Here is a 21,585-nt window from a genome sequence, read left to right on the forward strand (position 1 = left end):
GGAGAGTAGCCCTGGAAGCTGAGATGATTCCAAGTTTTTTATATTTCAAGAGAATTGCATCTGGGAAACAAAAGGAAATTTGCTTATTTTATTTTCTTCTTTCTCCTCATCTTCCCCAGGACCTCTTATTCCAGAAACTCAACTTCAGTCTCATAGTCAAATAGATGAGTTGCTATTAAAGGAGCTCTTTGCTACCTAGCCTGGAAACCTAACCACCATTACTAGGTAAAAAAATTCCCTTGGAAGATGAGTCTTAAAATCTAAATAATTGACTTACATAAGAATTTTTTCATGTTTTCTTTTATTGATATGTAATAGTTGCAAGGAATTTATCTTTTTTCAGGACAGAATGAAGCTTCCTGTATATTGGTGACTTCCACTTTTTACTTATAAATATCTCAGGAAGGATTAGGGAAAACCAAACTTTCTGAGTAACTTGTCACTAAAATATTTGCTCTTCTACCTTTTTTTTCCTACTTGCTGGCTGACCTAGGCTGTTCCCATGGCACCTGCTACCATCTGCTCTGTGCTAAACTCTTTCAAATGCAGGTATAAATTACTTTTTCAACACACTTCTGCTACTCATTCTATTAAGTGACCCAACCAAATATAAGTTTCTATTGGCCTAAAAATAGATCTCCTGCCATCTGGAGCCCCAAGTTTCTGCATTTTCTCTTTCACCTCGGAGCAACTCCAGCAGTCATAAAAGAACTTCACCTGATGTAATTGTATCTGCTTCCAACTGCTCCAAACGCATTCTGGAGCTTTCGTTCTGAGTGAATAATTCTCCCTTGTATCACCAGGCTTCCTGAAGGGATCAGATGCTCATTCATTTGGACATTTTCAAATCATCAAGAAAAACTTAACAAATCCCAGAGTTTGATTTTAGCCTTAGTCTTAGCATTTGATTAAGTTTCTTGTACTATACATGCGTAGACCATATCTAAAAACTCTCAAATTAATCATAACCCACGTCTTCCCACAAGTCTCTAAAAGCAAAGTAGGTAAAAGAGGCCAGGTAATTTTTTAAAGTTTTACTTGCCATTGAAATAGATGAAAGTCAAAATACACAATAAGTCCATACTTGAATTTGCATGGATTTTTAAATGGAATGTATTATAGCAAGTCCATAAACAGAATAACATGTTAATATTCAACAGAATAAGGGGCGAGAAGTACATTGATGCCAGATTTTAGGAAAATTCCCTAAATTTTATGGATAGCAAGCACAGAAAAATTTGTTTTGTCTCAAAACACTAAGTGCCAATACATTTTAACAACATTTGGAAAGTTCCAGGCTCTGCAACTGTCCTTGGATTCTTCCCTGTAAATTTCAGGTAGTTCTCAGCTTTCCTTCTTAATTGTTTCCTCTGCCTGCTCCCAATATTTCCCTGGAAATTTTCACCTTCTCTTGACTTCTCTTCTTTCTGACATGTATGTTCCTTAAACCTCTCCTTCCAACTCTTCTGAAATCTAAACACAAATTTCCAAGTAACTCCTTGGCCCTGCCCTTGGGGTGGCTGCAGCACATTAAAGCCAATCGTAAGGCATTCGCCGTCTCTCCCTCTTGCCATGAACCCACCCTAGTCCAGAGGTGCAGCTCCTGGGGTTGCTAACTCAGTGAATGGCCACACGCCCAGGCAACCACCAATGCTAAGGCACACAAACTACTTTCTTCCTTCCATTTTCAAAAGTCAAAAGACCACAGGTCCCTGTCAATGGTGTGTCCTTTATGGCTATCTCATCATCTTTCTATTACTAGGGAAACTTCATTTCAATGGCTTGCAGCTTCTTTCAACTCCAACCTGTTATAAAATAGATTCAACCCTGTTTTTCCCCATGAGCTAAAACAAACCAAAAATCTCTGAGCGTAGATATTCAGTATCTTTATAATTGACTACAACATTTTTTTTTCTTACCTGGTCTTCCAAAACTCTTTAGACAATATCAACTTTTTTCTAGTCTAGTGGCAGTCCACCCAGAACAACTATAACTGCACCTAAGAGCTTGTTAGAAATGCACATTCTCAGGCCCCACCCTACGCCAACTCAGCCAGCTCTGTGATTCATAAGCCTGCCCCATGATCCTCCGGCACACTGAAGTTCCAGAACTACTGCTCTAGGCATAATGCTTTATTTATTTTCTTACAAACATATCACATCCTTTTACGTCATACCTTAATTCTAGAAATTTCCTATATCTGGAATGCCCTTCTTCTTAGTCATTTTTAAAATGTCTTTCTTTCATTTAGGAATCTTTCTAAAAGTAGCCACTTCTTAAGACTCTCCAATATCCTCAGGCAGGATTAACAGCTATGTTTTCTTCCTTCCAAAGTACTTTATTTATTTATACCTTTCTATACTATCATCTGACTTATAGTTAAAAATGACGTGTTTCTCTTGAGAACTCCAAATTGATTTTCCTTAGTAAATGATAGCAGAGAAGGAGCTGTACCTTCCTCAGCAATAATAAGTACTCAATAAAAGAACTCAGGCCAGGTGCGATGGCTCATGCCTGTAATCCCAGCACTTGGGGAGGCTAAGGAGGGTGGATCACCTGAGGTCAGGAGTTTGAGACCAGCCTGGCCAACATGACAAAACCTCGTCTCTACTAAAAATACAAAAATTAACTGGGTGTGGTGGCTGATGCCTGTAATCCCAGCTACTTGAGAGGCTGAGGCAGGAGAAACACGTGAACCCGGGAGGCAGAGGTTGCAGTGAGCTCAGTTTGTGCCATTGCACTCCAGCCTGGGCAACAAGAGTGAAACTCCATCTCAGAAAAAACAAACAAAAAAAATACATTGTTACTCTTATAACAAATAAAAGGGCATTTCCTAATCCAATCCCTTTTATATAAAATTTTGGATTTAAAAGTTCTTTTCATAGAGTATTTTAATGGAAAGAAATGAAAAACATCATATGAAAAAGATTGTTAACAATATGTACAAGCAACTGACTCATAAAAAAGTCAAATAGAATCAGTTGTAAAATTTCTGAACTAAGATTCACGGCACATTAAATCTAAACTGCAAAGAATTAAAACAACGTTTCAATGATTCTTAAAATAACCACATCATAAAATAGATTTGAGTTGGTAAACATAACACTTATCTCTTCCAGTTTTAATCGACTTAGGTTTTATTTTCTTAAAATTGAAGAAAATTGAGTTTTGTCTTATAAAACTTAAAATCTTTTTTACAAGCATTTATTAAATAAAAATAACCATTAATGATTCACACATGGGGCTGTTTCTACTATGATTTGTAGAGCACAGCTTTCCAGATTATTATTAAACATTCTAGAAAAAAGGATTGGATAATTTGTTATTGAATCATTCTGTGGTTCAATTTTCCAACTACCTGGCTACATGGGCTCAAAATGAAAAACTTTAAAAATGATGGTGTCATCACGAATCATGATATTATGAAAAAAATCTTATCTCCTTCAAAGGCAAACATAGCAATGTCATATTTCACGTCATATGTATAAAGCAATTGTGTTACTCACAAAACACCTTCAAAACTCATCGTTACTCATTTAAAGATCACAGGGTCCTTTTACTTATCAGAAAGGAGCATTTTCCTGCTGGTGTGAAAGCCACACAGCTAGTAAGTTCATTTGTTCACTTGTTTATCCATTGCCTTCGAAATGACTAGGGGATGCTTATTATGAAGGCAGCATTATTGTAGGTACAGAACATTTGCCTTTCCCCGCAGAAATTAGGCCCTGGTGAGGAAATAATACAGGTCACACAGTGATGAGTGAGTACTCTCACAGAGGGATGCAATTTCCTAAGCATAGGAAGTGCTAACAGAAGAGGCATGTGACTCAGAGGTATACAATTGAAGGATTGAAGAAATTTTCTCAGAACTGGAAGTTCCAGTTGTGTAGGTGAAGGGAGGGGAATGAGGAAGAAGAGGTTCCCAGCGGAAACAGTAGCATGTGTGGACTTGAGCTGTGTGGTCCAGAAGATAAGTATCCTTGGAGCAAACAGCGGCAAAGGGAAAACTGAGATGGAAAGATGGAGAGATTTAGGCCTGAAATATGAACTTACAGCAATCAGCATAAGAATGGTAATTGGAATTATGGGGAGATTAAATTACCTAGCCAAAGTGTGTTGAGTGGGGAGAGAAACTGTTCAGCCACGGAACCTGAAAATCACTGTCCCTGGAGGAGCTGAGAGAGCACAGTTAGCAGGTGGGAAGTGCGGGGAGGGACAGGAGTGGCAGGCAGAACACCCACCGGGAGGACACTCTAAAGGAAGGGATCGTCACTGTCTAAGGCTGTGGATGCAGACCATGCTGATAGAGAGAAGGATAGACATCCTCCACAGGCGAGTGTGCAGGTGTAAAAGGAAAGAAGCTAATGAACTTCCCGACAGAAAGTGTCTACTTTTCAGCAAAGCAGGGGTACAACTTTCTGCGGGACATGAAGGCCCATGCATGGAGTGAGAGGATGGACACAGCCACATTCAGGAGTGGCAGCATGAGTTCACCACCACACCCAGAAGCAGGACACTCATTTCTGGGTAGAAATCTTTAACTTTCAGTGAATCCAACACATGCAGTTGTATTATCTGATCTATCTCCAGCAGGAGACAGAGGAGCAGAGCTCGTGCACAGTTGGCTTGATTTTGAATGAGACTGACAATGCAGCTGAAACAGGATGGTGGCCAGGGCACAGTGAGGCAGGTAGAAAGCCTGTGGGAGCAAAATATAAGGAGGTGCTCACCTTCAGTGTCATGCAAGTGACTCAGATAAATGTCGTGAAGATGAAGGAGGAAGACAGAGGGAAAGACAAATGACCAAAAGGAAAGGGGTGTTAGGCGATGGCCTGGGCTCTAACCCTGCCTAGGGGAGGCTGATGTGCATTAAAGGTGAAAATGTTTGAGATGAAGAGACTGAGTCTGTTGCCCTTGCACAACCTGAAGTCACTTGAGTCGACGGCAGGAACCAGGAAGAGGAAGGCTGTGAGCTTGGTCCCGACATCCTCAGTGGATAAGAACAAGCTCTAGGAAGTCTGTCCAGGGAAAGGTGGAGGCTTCTACTGGACAACCTGACCTCAAGTGACCAGAAACTGAGTATGATGGGGGAGAGGTGGGTGCAGCAGTGGAGAGGAAGCTCTCAGGAGCTCTGGGGAGCTGGCCAGTGCTTCTCCTAACCGAGAGACACGTGGTTTTGGGGGATTGAGCTCCTTTGAGTGATGTGGTGCCCCCAAGGGAGAGTAAAATCACTTAAATAAGCATTAAATAAAAATTAAAGGAGGCCATTCTTGTGGGCTAAGCTCCTGCACTAGCCCCAACAGACCAGACTAAAAACTAAAATGGAGTCATTAATTCTGAGGTTCTTCTTCACCAAACCAAAACTGAGTTATCTGGTCTTCGGAGAAATCAGGAGAGAGAGATCAAATCCAAATTTCCCAAACAGGCCAGTTTCAATGGCATGCTAATGAAGTTCCCCATTGCCTTTAGTCCTTACAAAAAAAGAGTAACCTAATGTTAACAAATCAATTATTTCTCTATTCTTCTGTTTTCCTGTTCCCACATTAAAGTAACTTTGAAATGACCAATTCACAGTTTGCTTCCTGTTCCTGCTTTCTTCAGCCCCTCTCCGAATATAAAACTAATCTCCTGTGCTACACTTATTGGAACATTTATTATGGAACAAAGTGTTGCCTGATTCTGGAATATCAAATAAAGACAATTCAGATCTTTAAACTAAATTGTTGTAATTTTGTCTTTGGACAGTGGGGGAGTAGATGGGATGTGCAGCACAGAGGTTACCAGGTGAAAGAGAACTGTGCCCTTGGGTTCCAAAGGGAGTGAAAAGGTGGATGGATTAGGGAAGACACAGGGCAAAGCAAAACAGATGAGATGATGGGAGAGGGCTCATGACAAGACACTTACCTGAAAATGTCTTTATTTCAGTCATACTTAAACATTCACTTTTTCTGAATACACGATTCTAGTCTGACAAGTGTTTTCCCTCAACATATTGAACAGTGGAAGATACTCCTCAATTTTTGATAGGGTTACATCATAATGGGGGTTAGATAAACTGAAAATATCCTAGTTGAAAACACAGTTTTGACTTAGGATATTTTCAACTTATGATGGTTTGTGCAGACATAATCTCATCACAAGTCAAGGAACATACTGAATGCACATTGGTTCATCACCATTATGAAGCAGAACAATTGTAAGTCAAGTCACCATAATTTGGGAACTGTCTAAATTTGTCAATCTAAATGTCATTTCACATTGATGATCTTTTTTTTTTTATTTTTGTTTTTCCTCACAGGCTGCTTTAAAGGTATTCTCTTGGTATTGTTGTACTTTAATCTTACAACAAAGTGTGTATTAATAGATGGATTCCTTTTTTTGCCTTGGGACATCAGTTTCTGTAGACATGAATTTATCTTTCATCAGCTTTTGGTAAAATATTCTTAAATATTGATACCCCTTCATTTGCTCCTTTTGGAACACCAATCAAAAATATATTAAAACCTTATTCTTCTTTAATGAAGCCACCTTTGCAAAATTATGAAAGTAAGAGAATTCTGACATAGTTGACTCCATCTTGCTTCTAACTTCTAAACTGTCCTTGGTTATTCCTGGGTGCAGGTCAAGCTATCTTTGGGAGAAATTTAGTTTATAGTTTAACTTTAAAAACAAGAATGATAATAGTGCTTCCCAAGAGGAAACTGCCTTTATAAAACTAATGAAAGGCCACAAGGTTAGGATTATGGGAGGAGGCTAAATTCTGCTTAAATGAGTGTAGTTTATTTATTTATTTATTTTTCTTTTTTTCTTTTTGAGATGGAGTCTCGCTCTGTAGCCCAGGCTGGAGTGCATTGGCGCCATCTGGACTCACTGCAACCTCCACCTCCCGGGTCCCGGTTCAAGCAATTCTCCCGCCTTAGCCTCCTGAGTAGCTGGGATTACAGGCACATGACACCATGCCCAGCTAATTTTTGTATTTTTAGTAGAGACAGGGTTTCACCATGTTGGTCAGGCTGGTCTCAAACTCCTGACCTCATGATCTGCCCGCTTCGGCTACCCAAAGTGCTGGGATTACAGGCATGAGCCACCACACCTGGCAAAATGAATGTAGTTTCTACAATCCTTTATCCCTCAGGAGTCATGTGGCCAGAGGTCACGTAATCTGTGACTTCCCCAGTTGCTTCTATAGATAACATCACTATTATAGAGGCTAAGATTGGTCTTTAAAAATTTTTTTAATGTTTTTATTTCAATAGGTTTTTAGGGAACAGGTGGTGTTTGGTTACATGAATAAGTTCTTTAGTGGTGATTTCTGAGATTCTGGTGCCCTCATCACCCGAGCAGTGTACCCTGTACCCAATGTGTTGTCTTTTATCTCTCAATACCCCCTACCCTTTCCCCTGAGTCCCCAAAGTCCAATGTATCATTTTTATGCCTTTGCGTCTTCATAGCTTAGCTCCCACATGTGAGTGAGAACATATGATGTTTTGTTTTCTGTTCTTGAGTTACTTACTTTAGAATAATAGTCTTCAATTCCATCCAAGTTGCTGTGAATGCCATTATTTCATTCCTTTTTATGTCTGAGTAGTATTCCATGGTGTGTGTGTGTGTGTGTGTGTGTGTGTGTGTGTGTATGATGGCCATTTGGGCTGGTTCCATATTTTGGCAACTGCAAATTGTGCGCTATAAACGTGCTTGTGCAAGTATCTTTTTCATACAGTGACTTCTTTTCCTCTGGGTAGATACCTTGTAGTGGGATTGCTGGATCAAACAGTAATCTACTTTCAGTTCTTTAAGGAATCTCCACACTGTTTTCCATAGTGGTTGCACTAGTTTACATTCCCATCAACAGTGTAAAAGTGTTCCTTTTCACCGCATTTATGGCAACATCTATTTTTTTTTATTATGGCCATTCTTGCAGGAGGGAGGTGGTATTGGATTGTGGTTTTGATTTCATTTCCCTCATAATTAGTGATGTTGAGCATTTTTCCATATGCTTGTCAGCCATTTGTATATTTTCTTTTGAGAATTGTCTATTCATGTCCTTAGCCCACTTTTTGATGGGATTGTTTGGGATTTTTTTTGTTGTTAATTCATTTTTTTGTTGTTAATTCATTTGAGTTTTTTGTAGGCTCTGGATATTAGTCCTTTGTCAGAGTCCTTTGTCAGTTCAAAGAATTTTTTAATTTCCATCTTGATTTCATTGTAACCCAATGACCATTCTGGAGCAGGTTATTTAATTTCCATGGATTTCCATGGTTTTGAGGGTTCCTTTTGGAACTGATTTCCAATTTTATTCCACTGTGGTCTGAGAGAGTACTTGCTATAATTTCAATTTTCTTAAATTTATGGAGACTTGCTTTGTGTCCTATCATATGGTCTATCTCGGAAAATGTTCCGTGTGCTGATGAATAGAATGTGCATTCTGCCGTTGTTGGGTAGAATGTTCTGTAAATATCTGTTAAGTCCATTTGTTGTAGGGTATAGTTTAAGTCCATTGTTTCTTTGTTGACCTTCTGTCTTGATGATCTGTCTAGTGCTGTCAGTGGAGTATTAAAGTCCACCATTATTATCGTGTTGGCATCTATCTCATTTTTTGGGTCTAGTAGGAATTGTTTTATAAATTTGAGAGGTCCAATGTTAGGGGCATACATATTTAGAATTGTGGTATTTTCCTGTTGGACTAGTTCTTTTGCCCTTACATAATGTTCCCCTTTGTTTTTTTTACCTGCTATTGCTTAAAGTTTGTTTTGTCTGATATAAGAATAGCTGCTTCTGCTCACTTTTGGTGTCATTTACATGTAACATCTTTTTCAACTCCTTTACCTTTAAGTGTGTGTGAGTCCTTATGTGTTAGGTGAGTCTCTTAAAGACAGCAGAAACTTGGTTGATTAATTTTTATTCATTCTACTATTCTGTATCTTTTAAGTGGTGCATTTAGGCCACTTACATTCAATGTTATCATTGATACATGAGGTACTATTCTATTCATCATGCTGTTTGATGCCCGAATACCTTGTTTTTTTTTTTTTCACTGTGTTATTGTTATATAGGTCCTGTGAGATTTATGCTTTAAAGAGATTTTATTTTGGTGTATTTTGAGGATTTGTTTCAAGATTTAGAGCTCCTTTTAGCAGTTCTTGTAGTGCTGGCTTGGTAGTAGCAAATTATCTCAGCATTTGTTTGTCTGGAAAAGACTGTATTTTTCCTTCTTTTATGAAGCTTAGTTTTGCTGGATAAAACATTCTTGGCTGATAATTGCTTTGCTTAAGGGGGCTAAATATAGGACCCCAATTTCTTCAAGCTTGTAGGGTTTCTGCTGAGAAATCTGCTGTTAATCTGATAAATTTTCCTTTATAGGTTACCTGGGGCTTTTGCCGTGCAGCTCTTAAGATTCTTTCCTTCATCTTGACTTTAGATGATCTGATGACTATGTGCCTAGGCCATGATCTTTTTGCGACGAATTTCCCAGGTGTTCTTTGAGCTTCTTATATTTGCATGTCTAGATCTCTAGTATGGCCAGGGAAGTTTTCCTCAATTATTCCCTCAAATATGCTCTCCAAACTTTTGGATTTCTCGTCTACCTCAGGAACACCGATTATTCTTAGGTTTGAATGTTTAATATAGTGCCAAACTTCTTGGAGGCTTTGTTCATTTTTTCTAAATTCTTTTTTCTTTGTCTTTAATGGATTGAGTTAATTCTAAAGCCTTGTCTTCAAGCTCTGAAGTTCTTTATTCTGCTTGTTTGTTTCTGTTGCTGAGACTTTCCTGGGCATTCTGCATTTCCATTCTCCTTGATTTCCAGAAGTTGTGATTTTTTTGAAATTTATGCTGTCTATTTCACTGAAGAATTTTCCTTTCATATCCTGTATCGTGTTTTTTATTTCTTTAAGTTGGACTTCACTTTTCTCTGGTGCCTCCTTGATTAGCTTAATAATGGGCCTTCTGAATTCTTTTTCTCACAACTCAGAAATTTTATCTTGGTTTGGATCCATTGCTGGTGAGCTGGTATGATCTTTCAGGGGTGTTAAAGAACCTCGTTTTACCATATTACTACAGTTGCTTTTCTGGTTCCTTCTTATTTGGGTAGACAATGTCAGAGGGAAGATCTGGGATTCAAGCAGTTCAGATTCTTTTGTTTCCTGGGGTGCTCCCTTGGTGTGGTGTTCTCCCCCTTCCCCTAGGAATGGAGCTTCCCAGGAGCCAAACTGTAGTAATTGTTTTTGCTCTTCTGGATCTAGCCACCCAGCGGAGCTTCCGGGCTCCAGGCTGGTACTGGGAAGTGTCTGCAAAGAGTCCTGTGATGTGATCCGTCTTCAGGTCTTGCAGCCATGGATACCAGCACTTGCTCCAGTGGAGGTAGCAGAGGAGTAAAGTGGAGTCTGTGAGGATCCTTGGTTGTGTTTTTGTTTAGTGCGCCGGTTTTGCGTTGGTTGGCCTCCAGCCAGCAGATGGCACTTTTCTTTTCTTTTTTTCTCTCTCTTTTTTTTTTTTCTTTGAGACAGAGTCTCCCTCTGTCACCAGGCTGGAGTGCAGTGGCATGATCTCGGCTCATGGCTCATGGCTCACTGCAATCTCCAACTCCCTGGTTCAAGTGATTCTCCTGCCTAAGCCTCCCAGGTAGCTGGGGTTACAGACATGCACCACCACATCCAGCTAATTTTTGTATTTTTAGTAGAGATGGGGTTTCACCATGTTGGCCAGGATGGTCTTGATCTCCTGACCTCATGATAAGCCCGCCTTGGCCTCCCAAAGTGCTGGGATTATAGGTGTGAGCCACCGCACCTGGCCAATGACACTTTCAAGAGCGCATCAGCTGTGGTCTTATAGGGAGGATGTAACTTGCCCTAGAGACACCTGGTTAAGTATTCAGGTTTATCAGGCAGTGGGCAGGGCCATAGAGCTTCCAAGAGATTATGACCTTCGTCTTCAGCTACTAGGGCAAATAGAGAAAGACCACCAGTTTGGGGCAGGGATTGGCATGTCTAGCTCAGCCTCTTCTTGGGCAGGGCTTGCTGTGGCTGCTGTGGGGTTTGGGGGTGTGGTTCCCAGTCCAATGGAGTTATATTCCCAGGGTGATTATGGCTGCCTCTGCTAAGTCATACACGTTGCCAGGGATGTGGGGGAAAGCCAGCAGTCACCGGCCTCACTCTGCTCCCACACAGCCAACAGTCCTAAAGGCCGGTCTCGCTCCCATTATGCCCCCACAGCAGCACTGAGTCTATTTCCTAGCAGCCAGTAACCAGGGCTGAGAACGTGTCCCAGATCAGGAGACTCCCCGTTGAGAAGGCAAGAAGACTCACAATTTTTTGTCATCTCAGAGAGTCTGCAGCAGTGATTCAGCTTTCCTGATATGTTCCTGCAATAGTTCTTGGAGCAGAAGTTTGCTATGTAATTCTCCACATGCTGCTCTGCCAGAGCGGGAGTGCCAAGCTAGTCCTGCCTCCTATCTGCCATCTTAATCCAAAATTTTTCAAGATTGGTCTTTTAAGATGTTGTTCAGACTGACTCTACCAAGACTCATGACTCATGACTCAACTGATCCTGTGGTCCCCACCCAGAGGCAGACTCAGTGCATGAGGATCATTTTTCATACCTCTATGATTGCATTCCCCAACCATTCAACAGTACCCATTCCCCAGTCTCCTGTCCACCAAACTAACCTTGAAAACCCCTAACCTCCAATCCTGTCGGGAAACTGATTTGAGTGATAACTCTAGTTCCCCCATGTGGCCAGCCTCATGTCAATTAAACTCTTTCTTTACCTCAATCCTACAGTTCCAGTGAATTGGTTTTGACTGTGCAGCAGGCAGGGAGTACCCATCGTGTGATTACATTAATGCCTGTTAATATCTTTCATGGAGTTCATCTCCTTACCTCTCTTTGCTGCATTCTGGATAACCTTTTAAAATTTATTTGACAGTTCTCTAATTCACTCTTCAGCTATGTGTAATCTTTTTAACTCACTAGTTGTGCTTTTGACTTCAAATTGTTTTAGTTTTAAAATTTCTTTATGGTTCTTTTTTCCGAACCTGTATGGACATGTTTTTATAATATCATCCTCCATACTCATTTGCTAAAATCAAGACTTCATTACATTAAACATTTCATAATAATTTTATGACATTTTATTTTATAATATGATACTTATTTCATAATTTTAGTATGATATATCATAATTTCATATTTTTCATCTGATAATTCAGAAGATTTTTGGAGATTTTGAGCAATTGTTTATGGTTTCTGCTGACCTCCATCACAGTGTCTTGTTTCATTGCGTGTGTTAAATAGAATTGAATCTGTGGGAATCTTGAGGCCTAAATTGTGGATGCTTTCCTCCAGATATGATTTGTATTTGCTTCTGCCAAGAGGCAGGCAAAGCTAAGTTGCAGCTGTCTTAGAAGGTCTCTGCTTAAGGGGAAATATTCAGGTTTAGCTTTTCTACCTTGAGGTCAGCCGAAGGCTTAGTCTTGAAATCACATGTCTGATGAAGAGAAGCACCTTCAGCACAATCCTCCCCTTCCTTATTGCTCACTGCTCTCAGCTATCTGCTCTGGTTTCAGCCATTTGTTCTTTTTTGTTTGTGTTTTTGTCTATAGGAAGTTTACTCTATTTCCTAGGGAACTGAGAAACACATTTTGAATTATATATGCAGTAATTTATACAGAATAATTTGGAGGGGAGGTATATCAAAATTTCCTGGGTATGTATCACCTATGGGAGCTGTTCTCAATTCTCATGACTCTGAGAATCATTCTCTCAAGGATCATAATGCCCACTAATCTGTATTGTAACCTATCTTTGAAATATGCAGGGTAAAACAATGAAAAAGTAGGAAATGAGAGAGATCCTTAAATGCTATTAGCTTCAAGAACCTTCACTGTCACTGACATTTTCCCTTACACATACTTTAAAAATGTGGTCAACATTTAGTCATTTGTATGGAGGGGTGAGGAGTCAGGACAGGGGATAATTATTTGCTTTTTATTTTTATTTATTTAATTTTATTATTATATTGTAATCTGGACCAGCTACAAGTATGTGTATATAACCTAGGTAAAACTACACGTAGGCTTTTGGCACCTGTGGTTGCCTGTCAGCTTAGTGGAGCTCCTAACCATCTAAAATGTCAGAGTTTATTGTTATTTTTTATTTAAAAATTTTTTGAAATTACTTATTTATTTATTTGTATTATAGTAGCTTTAGATGGCCAATATGGTGAAACCCCGTCTCTACTAAAAATACAAAATTAGCCGAGTGTGGTGGCACACACCTGTAGTCCCAGCTGTTCAGGAGGCTGAGACAGGAGAATCACTTGAACCCAGAAGGCAGAGGCTGCGCTGAGCTGAGACTGTGCTACTGCACTGCAGCCTGGGTGAGACAGAATGAGACTCCGTCAAAAACAAAAAAAGAATATGCATGCAACTTTGTTGTTTCTGCCCTCTCACATATTTTTCTTTCACACAGAGGACTCAGAAAAAGAAAACTCTATTGTATGTCCTGGAGAATGGCATTATTTCCATAGAAGCAGTATACCATACACCAATTACTTTAACATTACAAATTTAGTTCACGCTAATAGTTCTTTTATTCACTAACCAAACATTATTGGACTTAAGTAATAGACACTGTAAAATATTATTTGACTTCAGGCTATGTTAACTTTACTAATTTTAAGGCATTCAACTAAAATCTTCATAATTACACAAAATAAAATGTTATAACATCTTTAAATTAGGCAACTGATATAAAATGTTCTCATATCCATTCTCTAAATTTAACTGGAAGAGATGGTGTAACTTGATTTGCAGAATTGGAATTCTTCCAGGCTATTGGATGAGTGAAAAGTGGGGGAAAGGTCCAGAAGTCTGAGCTAGTTAAAAAAAATTGTACTTCCAGTTTTGTGAATTAATAAATATAGATAAAATTTGTTATTTATTTATTATTAGAGAGGAAGCCCACTCCTCATGCCACAGCCCATGTCTCCCCAAAAGTAATAACAATAAAAAGTGATAGAAAATTTCCCAGTGTAATCCTGGCCTAAATACATAAGGCCCTGCCTAAAGAATTAGGTGCTCATTATATGCTCTCAGTAGATTCAGTTATTGTCACGACATACCCATGTTGTTCAGGCAGTGTAGGCAAAGAAAGTGTCTAAATAACTAAGGAGAGTATAAGTGAGTGCAGTTAGTATTGGACATCATTAAGTTACTGAGGTTCTGGATTCATAAGCAGAAATGCTAAGACTGTGCTTCTATTATCTTTCTAGTAATCATTTATCACTAAGTAAAGATCAAAACTTTAAACCAACATATTGGAAACAATGACATCTAACTCTCCAGTTAGAGAGTATAATGGGAGTCTGATAAAACAGCTTTTCATTCTTTCTTAAGCAAACCTGCTTGTTTGTACTCCAGAAATCTAAAAGAGAAAGTCTCACTTTATAATGCCCTGTAACAAGGGTTTATAGACATCAAGAGAGTACATATGTGGCTGTAATTTTTATTGAGAATATATTACCACATGCCGTTGGAGCAGAATTGGAAGTGCTTCATTGGATTTAACCAAATAAGATGATCTATACTTGCTTGCCATTCTATCGTGTGCAAAGCTAATATTGTGTAAGGTTACAAGCCCCAGAAAGAGCAGGCTCAAGTTTCAGTCTTCAGCCCACATCTCTTTACCATTTTAGGAGCCACTGCATTTTTCATGCAACAGTTTTTCCTACCTGGTTTTTGGAGATAATAAAGATATGCATATGCTTATGAAAAAATAAGGATAAGTAACCCCTTACTTTGTCTTCTCACTATACTTCGTAGCATCACTGTTAAGGATATTTAATCAAAAATCTTGCTGCGTTTTTCCAAGTGCAGCCTTGGGAGCACCTGCATCAGAATCTACCTGGGGTGTGTATTTAAACCACAGAATCCTGACCCTGTTTTCTAGGCCACAATATCTAATCTCTGCAGGTAGTGGGGGTGGGGGTAGGGGTGGGGCATGGGTAAATCTGGCTTATTAACAAGTCTTTAGAAAACTGTAGTTCAAGCACAAATGTTTTGTGGTCTCTACATTTTATTGCTCACCTTTGCATCAGTTTGCAAACGATAAGAATGTAAGACGGGAAAGAAGAAAGGAGCTATCCACAAAAGGCATAACCAGCCTGTAGATAATTTATAATTAGCTATATATATTTTTCCAGGCAGTCTCTTAAAAAGTTCAAGCCCATTACACATCGGTAAAAATGAAAGAATTTGTAATGATTTTTAGTGGTTCAAACTCATTATAAATTAGTAAAAAATCAAAGGATATGACTCCTGGGAAAATTCTAGCATTATATGCAAGTATGCATAGAAACAGATTCGTGACAATTAGGGCTGTTGGGTAAATACTCTCCATGTCCTAATAATGCAGTGAACTTTCAAATACCTTCAGCAAATCTTGGTTGGTACTTTATTTTCCCATCACATAGTCTATTCAATTAACTCTATTGACATTATCACAATCTTTGTTTATTTATTCTTCCAGTGAGTTTATCTTCCTGGGTTCCCAGGACTCCTGAGACACAATGAAATGGGCTCTAGTGCACATTATTAATGTTTATTTGCTGCCTAATATATGGGTTGCCTCACATTATGAAAAGAGGTTCAAAATATGGCCTCCCGTAGTGACTGGAGGAAACACCAGACTTCCCATTGACCAGATTGGCAACGATTCAAGATCATTTGCTCCCATTCTCTCATCTTCTTCCCTGTACACTCAAATTATGTAGAAGTGATGCCCTTAGTGTTTAAGAACATCCAAGGGAACTAGCCCTGTTGTTTCCTGCCACTCAGGTGTATCTGGAAGTCATTCACGCTTTCTCCCACTTGAAGCAACATTCTTCAACCACTATTTGTTATAGCCATTGCCAATGGACATTTCTGAGTTCAAGGGTTTGGGCTGAGCTCCTGGGGCCTGTTGCTGCCACAGTCGCAGAGTCATCCCCTCTTGAGGACACAATGGTCTTGCAGGTGTGAGGGCCATCAGAGAGCCTTTCTCCCAGGAGCTCTGCTCAGCCCAGGGCGCTCCACAGTGAACTGGCCTGGACCCCTCATGACAGCTCTCTAGGCTCTCTCCCACGGCCTCTTCCTCAGGGACAAACCAGCCCCCAGGAGTCCCCAGGTCGTGATCAGTTCCAGAATCCACTCTCAAAACATGAAGTTACCCTGCCTCAAGGTCACAAGACTCAGGCAGAGGCCAGATTGTGTTTAGGCCTCTATACATTTTGTGATTTTATTTCAGAATCTTTATTTTTCTTTCTGACAATTTCTAATGACTTAGAATCAGAAGGGCAGAGATTAAGAATCTTATTCTTTCCCTAACTAGAAAAATCCAGGGCCTTCTCTGATTCCTCATTCTCAGTAGCCTTTAAATTCTTCATAGCAATTTTTCATATTAAATTTTTCATATTAAAATTTTTCACATTAAAATAAAATCCAACCTATTAACATAGCTTATTACATATATATATCTCATCATATGATCAAAAATATAATACTGCAAAAATTTTGTTAGTAACACCAAACAAATGACACAATTATAAGTATTTCTGAATTCTAAATACTCTATCAGAACAAGAAAAGAAATGCATTAAGGGAATTCTCTGCTTAAGACTCTGTGCTAGGCATGGTCCAACATACTGTAAATGTAAACTGTTCTTAGGTGAGTTAACTCTTTTTCATAGTTTTGAGCTTCCCAGAAAATTATATAAATGCCCCCCCTAGATTGCAGGCAAAAGATTCCGCATTTAAGAGAGTCAGAGTAACGTTAGGCTTCAGCCAGTTCTAGATGTTTACCCAAGAAACCAACTTATTGTAGAGCTATGAGATCACTTAACAATTTCTTCACACAGATGTGATATTTTGTCCAGACATCTAGAATGGCCCTCTGTTGCTTACCATAGTAAGACTAAATTCGTCCATTTGACTTTCAATGGCCTTTAACATTTGGACTCTGCCAGATTCCAATGTGATTGCATAAAGCACTTTTAATTCAAACCTCACCATATTGAATGGTCTCCACCCACTCAACATTCTCATAAGACCTATTTCCCCTTCCATGCCTTTTCCTAGGATACCCTTCCTTCCCCTCCTGGCCAATTCAAATCTCACTCTCTCTTGTAAGGCTGTATTAGTGCATCCTCGATGGATGCTTCCCAGAGACTATAAACCAGCCCCCCTCCAATACTGGATGTAACCTATTCAGCACAATTTAGGCCTAAAGGCAATCACATTTGGGACAGTTATTTAACAACCTCTAAAGCATAGTGCTGATTTTATTGGGAATATAACACACCCTTGGGATTCAATGGTTCAGCATTTTAAAGTTTATGGTATCAGGAGTGGCTGTCAAGCTCTCATCATCCTGCGATGATTTATGCATTGCTAAGGCTGGGACTGAGGTGGCCTGTACCCAGGGAGCTCAGGGGTGGGGCTTTCTCCAGTCTAGTGAGTGGGCAGAACAGGACAGGGCAACCTCCACTTCTGCTTGGCCAACCTCTGTCATGGCTCATATAGCGACTTCGAAGGTAGGGTTTACACTCTTTTTGCTCTTTTTTGAAAAATATTGTTAATAGCTTTAATTTCATGTTTATAGAATCACTGAGATTCCTAAGGTATTCATTCAATTGTTTGTTTATTCTCTACACAATTTTATGGGGGAAGCTACATGCAGTTTTTTGCAAAAAAAGCTCACACATGTGAAGTCTTAGCTGTGATTATTACATGCAATGGATATTTTGTTAACTGATATGTGTGTGTGTGTGTTTAGGTATATAATTTTCTTCTAGGCAGGAGCTTTAAAAATATTATTCTTGTGTAATAGAAGTGGCAAATCAGATTTTCTTTTAAGAAATTATGAAGTATACTGGTAGCAGGAGAAGAAACAGAAAAACAAGAGTAAGGAAATACAGAGAGGACTTGGAGGGGAACCCTAATAGCAGAGTTCTAGAAAAATTATTGGCAAATTCCTGCCACAGAAAACAGAAGGAGCTAACCTGGTCTTCGAATCATCTGGTCCCAGTTCCCTGTAATCACCTTTTCCCCATAAATCTAGATGTGTGGCTTTCCCAAGTCTGGGTTCCACATGGGTGAGTTTCCTGATATCCTGTTTCCCTGCACAGCCACATGAGAAACACCTTGTTTCTGAGGCAATTTTAGTGAGTCTCTCACTTTTTTTTTTTTTTGGCAATCAAAAAAGTCCAATATGAGTCATTTCTGTGACCATCTCTCATAGAAGATGATTTTAGGATGATAAGCATTTTTGATTAGATTTATTTTGAAATAGTTACTGACCCACATGGTGAGAGGTTCATGAGTGATGAGCCTTTTGAAAAGCATGTTTGTGCTTAAAGAGATTTACAAGAGGACATCTTCCTGTTAATGTGTCACTTCCCTTTGACTCAAAGGAATTCGGTGGAGGATAGTAAGTTCCAAAATAAGCTGACACATCAATAACTACAATAAATCCTCCCAACTGATCTAACAGAGGAATCCAACTGAATATTCCAAGCTCACCTTCAGTAGATAGAACAACTTAAGTCTTTTGGAATGAGACCCTTTGATTACTTATGACATTTGTGAGTTTCACTTAAACCCAGGGGTGCAGGAAGGGATGCCCTGTTGTATTCTCTGTTCTTTGAGGATTGTAGAAAATGTCCAAATATTATGCTTGTGCTATTCCAACCTGGCCATGATTTAATACAAACACAGATAGACACTCTCTTTTTCCATTTTTAATTTCTTCCTTCCCTCCCTTTCTCCTTCCCTTTCTTTCCCTTTATTTTGTTTTTCTTCTCCTCACCATCCCTCCTTCAAAAAGTGTGTACTAAAACATGTGCAGTTTTAACTTCCTGCTGAAAGATAATTCCCCTAGATGAATTATGATTATATTTTGTAGAGAGATCACTGTTCACAAGCCATAGAAGTAATACGTGTTGCTTGGCCAAATTTGAGCTGGCTTTTATCTCTGGCATTTCCTCATTTCAGGAAAAAGGTTTTGAGGCTCTTTACTGAAGCAACATCAGAACTTAAGTCTGGTCAGTTCTCATATAGAACCTCAAGATACCAGTGAGAACTTTTTTTGATGGCACCTAGGTCCAGTTTCAAGTTTACCTTTGAGCCTAGCTATAGTTCAATCTTCCTGGCTTATTCCTCAGGACATGTCAAGAGGTTATGTTAGAACTTCAAAATGACTTATGTGGTAGCAAGAATTAAACTATTATCCTAGTTTAAAAACTTGAACTCTACAATAATGCACCAAACCTGCTGCTACCATCCACGCTCAGCAGGACAGGGGATGTTTGCTAGGAGTAAGTACAGAAGGTCACTGTTCCCAGGCCACAGCCCTCAGCCTGGTCCATGGGAGCCTTCATCATCTGCTCCCAGCTCACTTGCTCAGACCCATCTTCTCCCACTCTTTCTCTTCCTTTGTTAGTTTCCAGCCACAATAAATGACTTGCAGCTCATTCACAGTTCCCTCAGTGGCCTCGTTCACCTCCATGCCTAAGCCTTTGCCCATGATTGATCCACTGCATGGCGTGCCCCTCCTGGTGTCTCAATCTTGGTTTCCCGCAGACGCAGCATCTCATGTCTTCTCTGGCCTTCAATGTAGGGGAGTGCTCCTTGCATGAGTCCCCTACCGTCCTGACCATGACATAGTACTTGTTGCACTGGTTATAATTGCCTCTCTATTTTGTCAGTCTTTCCTACTAAGTTTTCCTACAGACAGGGTCTTCTGTAACTTTTTCATCAGCATATCCCTAGCTTTCACCCAGTCTCTAAAGAATGTTCACTGAATAAAAGCACAAGGCATGGATGATTGTGTAAAGAATATCTCGTGCCTTCTACACACAAAGCCCTTGCCCCTTTTCTCACTGCTTCCCAGATCCCTCATCAGCTATTTACTGGCTTCCTATATCTGGCTTCCCAAGGACAGACAGTAATGAGACCAAATCCTGGAAGGGAAGATGCTAGGTCTCTTTGAAGGTGATGAAAACCTTTCCTCCTTTTGACAGATACCAGGCCTGGGGAAATTGGAGAGAGAAGACTTCACCTAGCTTCAGGTGTCCAGTTTCTCCCACTTTCTCTCCTAGTCTGTCATCTTGGGCCCTCAACACATAATTTAGATCTGTTCTTTAAAGCTTTACTCACTCCATTTTATTTTTACACTTCCATGAACTAATCCTTTCCTCTAACTAACATTATCTATCCGGTATCCATTTCTTCATAGACTTGCTCTCAGTTTTCGTCATAACAATGAATAAGAACAATGATGGTGTAACAATCATTCACACGCACTATAACCTCTAGGTTAGGCATGTTCAAAGCACTTTATTTCATAATTTATTTTATTCTCACAAGATAAGTACAATTATTATTATTATTATTATTTTGAGACAGAGTTTTGCTCTTGTTGCCCAAGCTGGAGTGCAATGGGATCATCTCGGCTCACTGCAACCTTTGACTCCCAGGTTCAAGCGATTCTCCTGTCTTAGCCTCCAGAGTAACTGGGATTACAGGCGTGTACCACCACGGCTGGCTAAGTTTTGTATTTTTAGTAGAGACAGGGTTTTACCATGTTTGCCAGGCTGGTATCAAACTCCTGACCTCAGGTGATCTGCCCGCCTCAGCCTCCCAAAGTGCTGAGTTACAGGTGTGAGCCACTGCGCCCAGCCAATAAGTACAATTATTTTTATCCTTAATTTATTAGTGAAAAAAATGGAAGCTAGTGAAAAAAAATAGATGTAAAATAGACTACCCAAGGCCATATAGCAAGGGCTACATTTTTCCTGAGGCCCTACCTCCTTGCCAGCTAAAACAGAGTATTTCAAGAGACATTACCTAAACATGAAGGAAGGTCTGGGAAGCATTGTAGGAAGTTTCTAAGACTATGGCCGACTTATGAGGAAAATATATAGTTGGGAAGAGGACAGGGTAGGGGGCGCTGCTGAAAATGACCTCTAATTTTACCATGTGGGTGCACCTATGTCTTTGTACAAACAGTGGCGAGGCACTAGCATAGCAAGGGTAAGCAGCAGCCAGAAGCACTGCCTGGCTTGGTGCCCTCTCCCTCACAGTGGCGCTAGAGCTGGTAAAGCCTCTGTCTCCACAGTCCTTCATGGACTAGCACCCAAGGACATGGGTTCCCTGTGTTGTAAGTCGAAGTCAGATAGATTTGAGTTTGAATCCTAATTCCTCCTTTCTTTCCTGCGTGATCTTGGACAATTTAATAACCTCTCTGAGGGACGATTTCTTTATCTACAAAATAGTGATGATAATATTTATCTTTGTTGTTGTCAAGATTAAAGACACTTACTGTACGCAGCATTATGCAAGAAAATACTCAAAAAAAGTTCATTCCTTTTCTATTCTTCTCGCAGTCTCTCCATCTCTCCCTCTCCAAACAAGTCAATGAGCATTTCACAATTCGTTCATCAGATTAGAAGGCAGAGAAAGATAGGAGATAAGGGGGTCAGTTCAAAAGACTCATTTCTAGCAAATGAGTCTTTTTACTCAAACAGATACTATTGTATCTGTATTTACTCAA

This window comes from Homo sapiens, chromosome 7 (genome assembly GCF_000001405.40).
Source record: "Homo sapiens chromosome 7, GRCh38.p14 Primary Assembly".
NCBI classification, from domain to species: domain Eukaryota; kingdom Metazoa; phylum Chordata; class Mammalia; order Primates; family Hominidae; genus Homo; species Homo sapiens.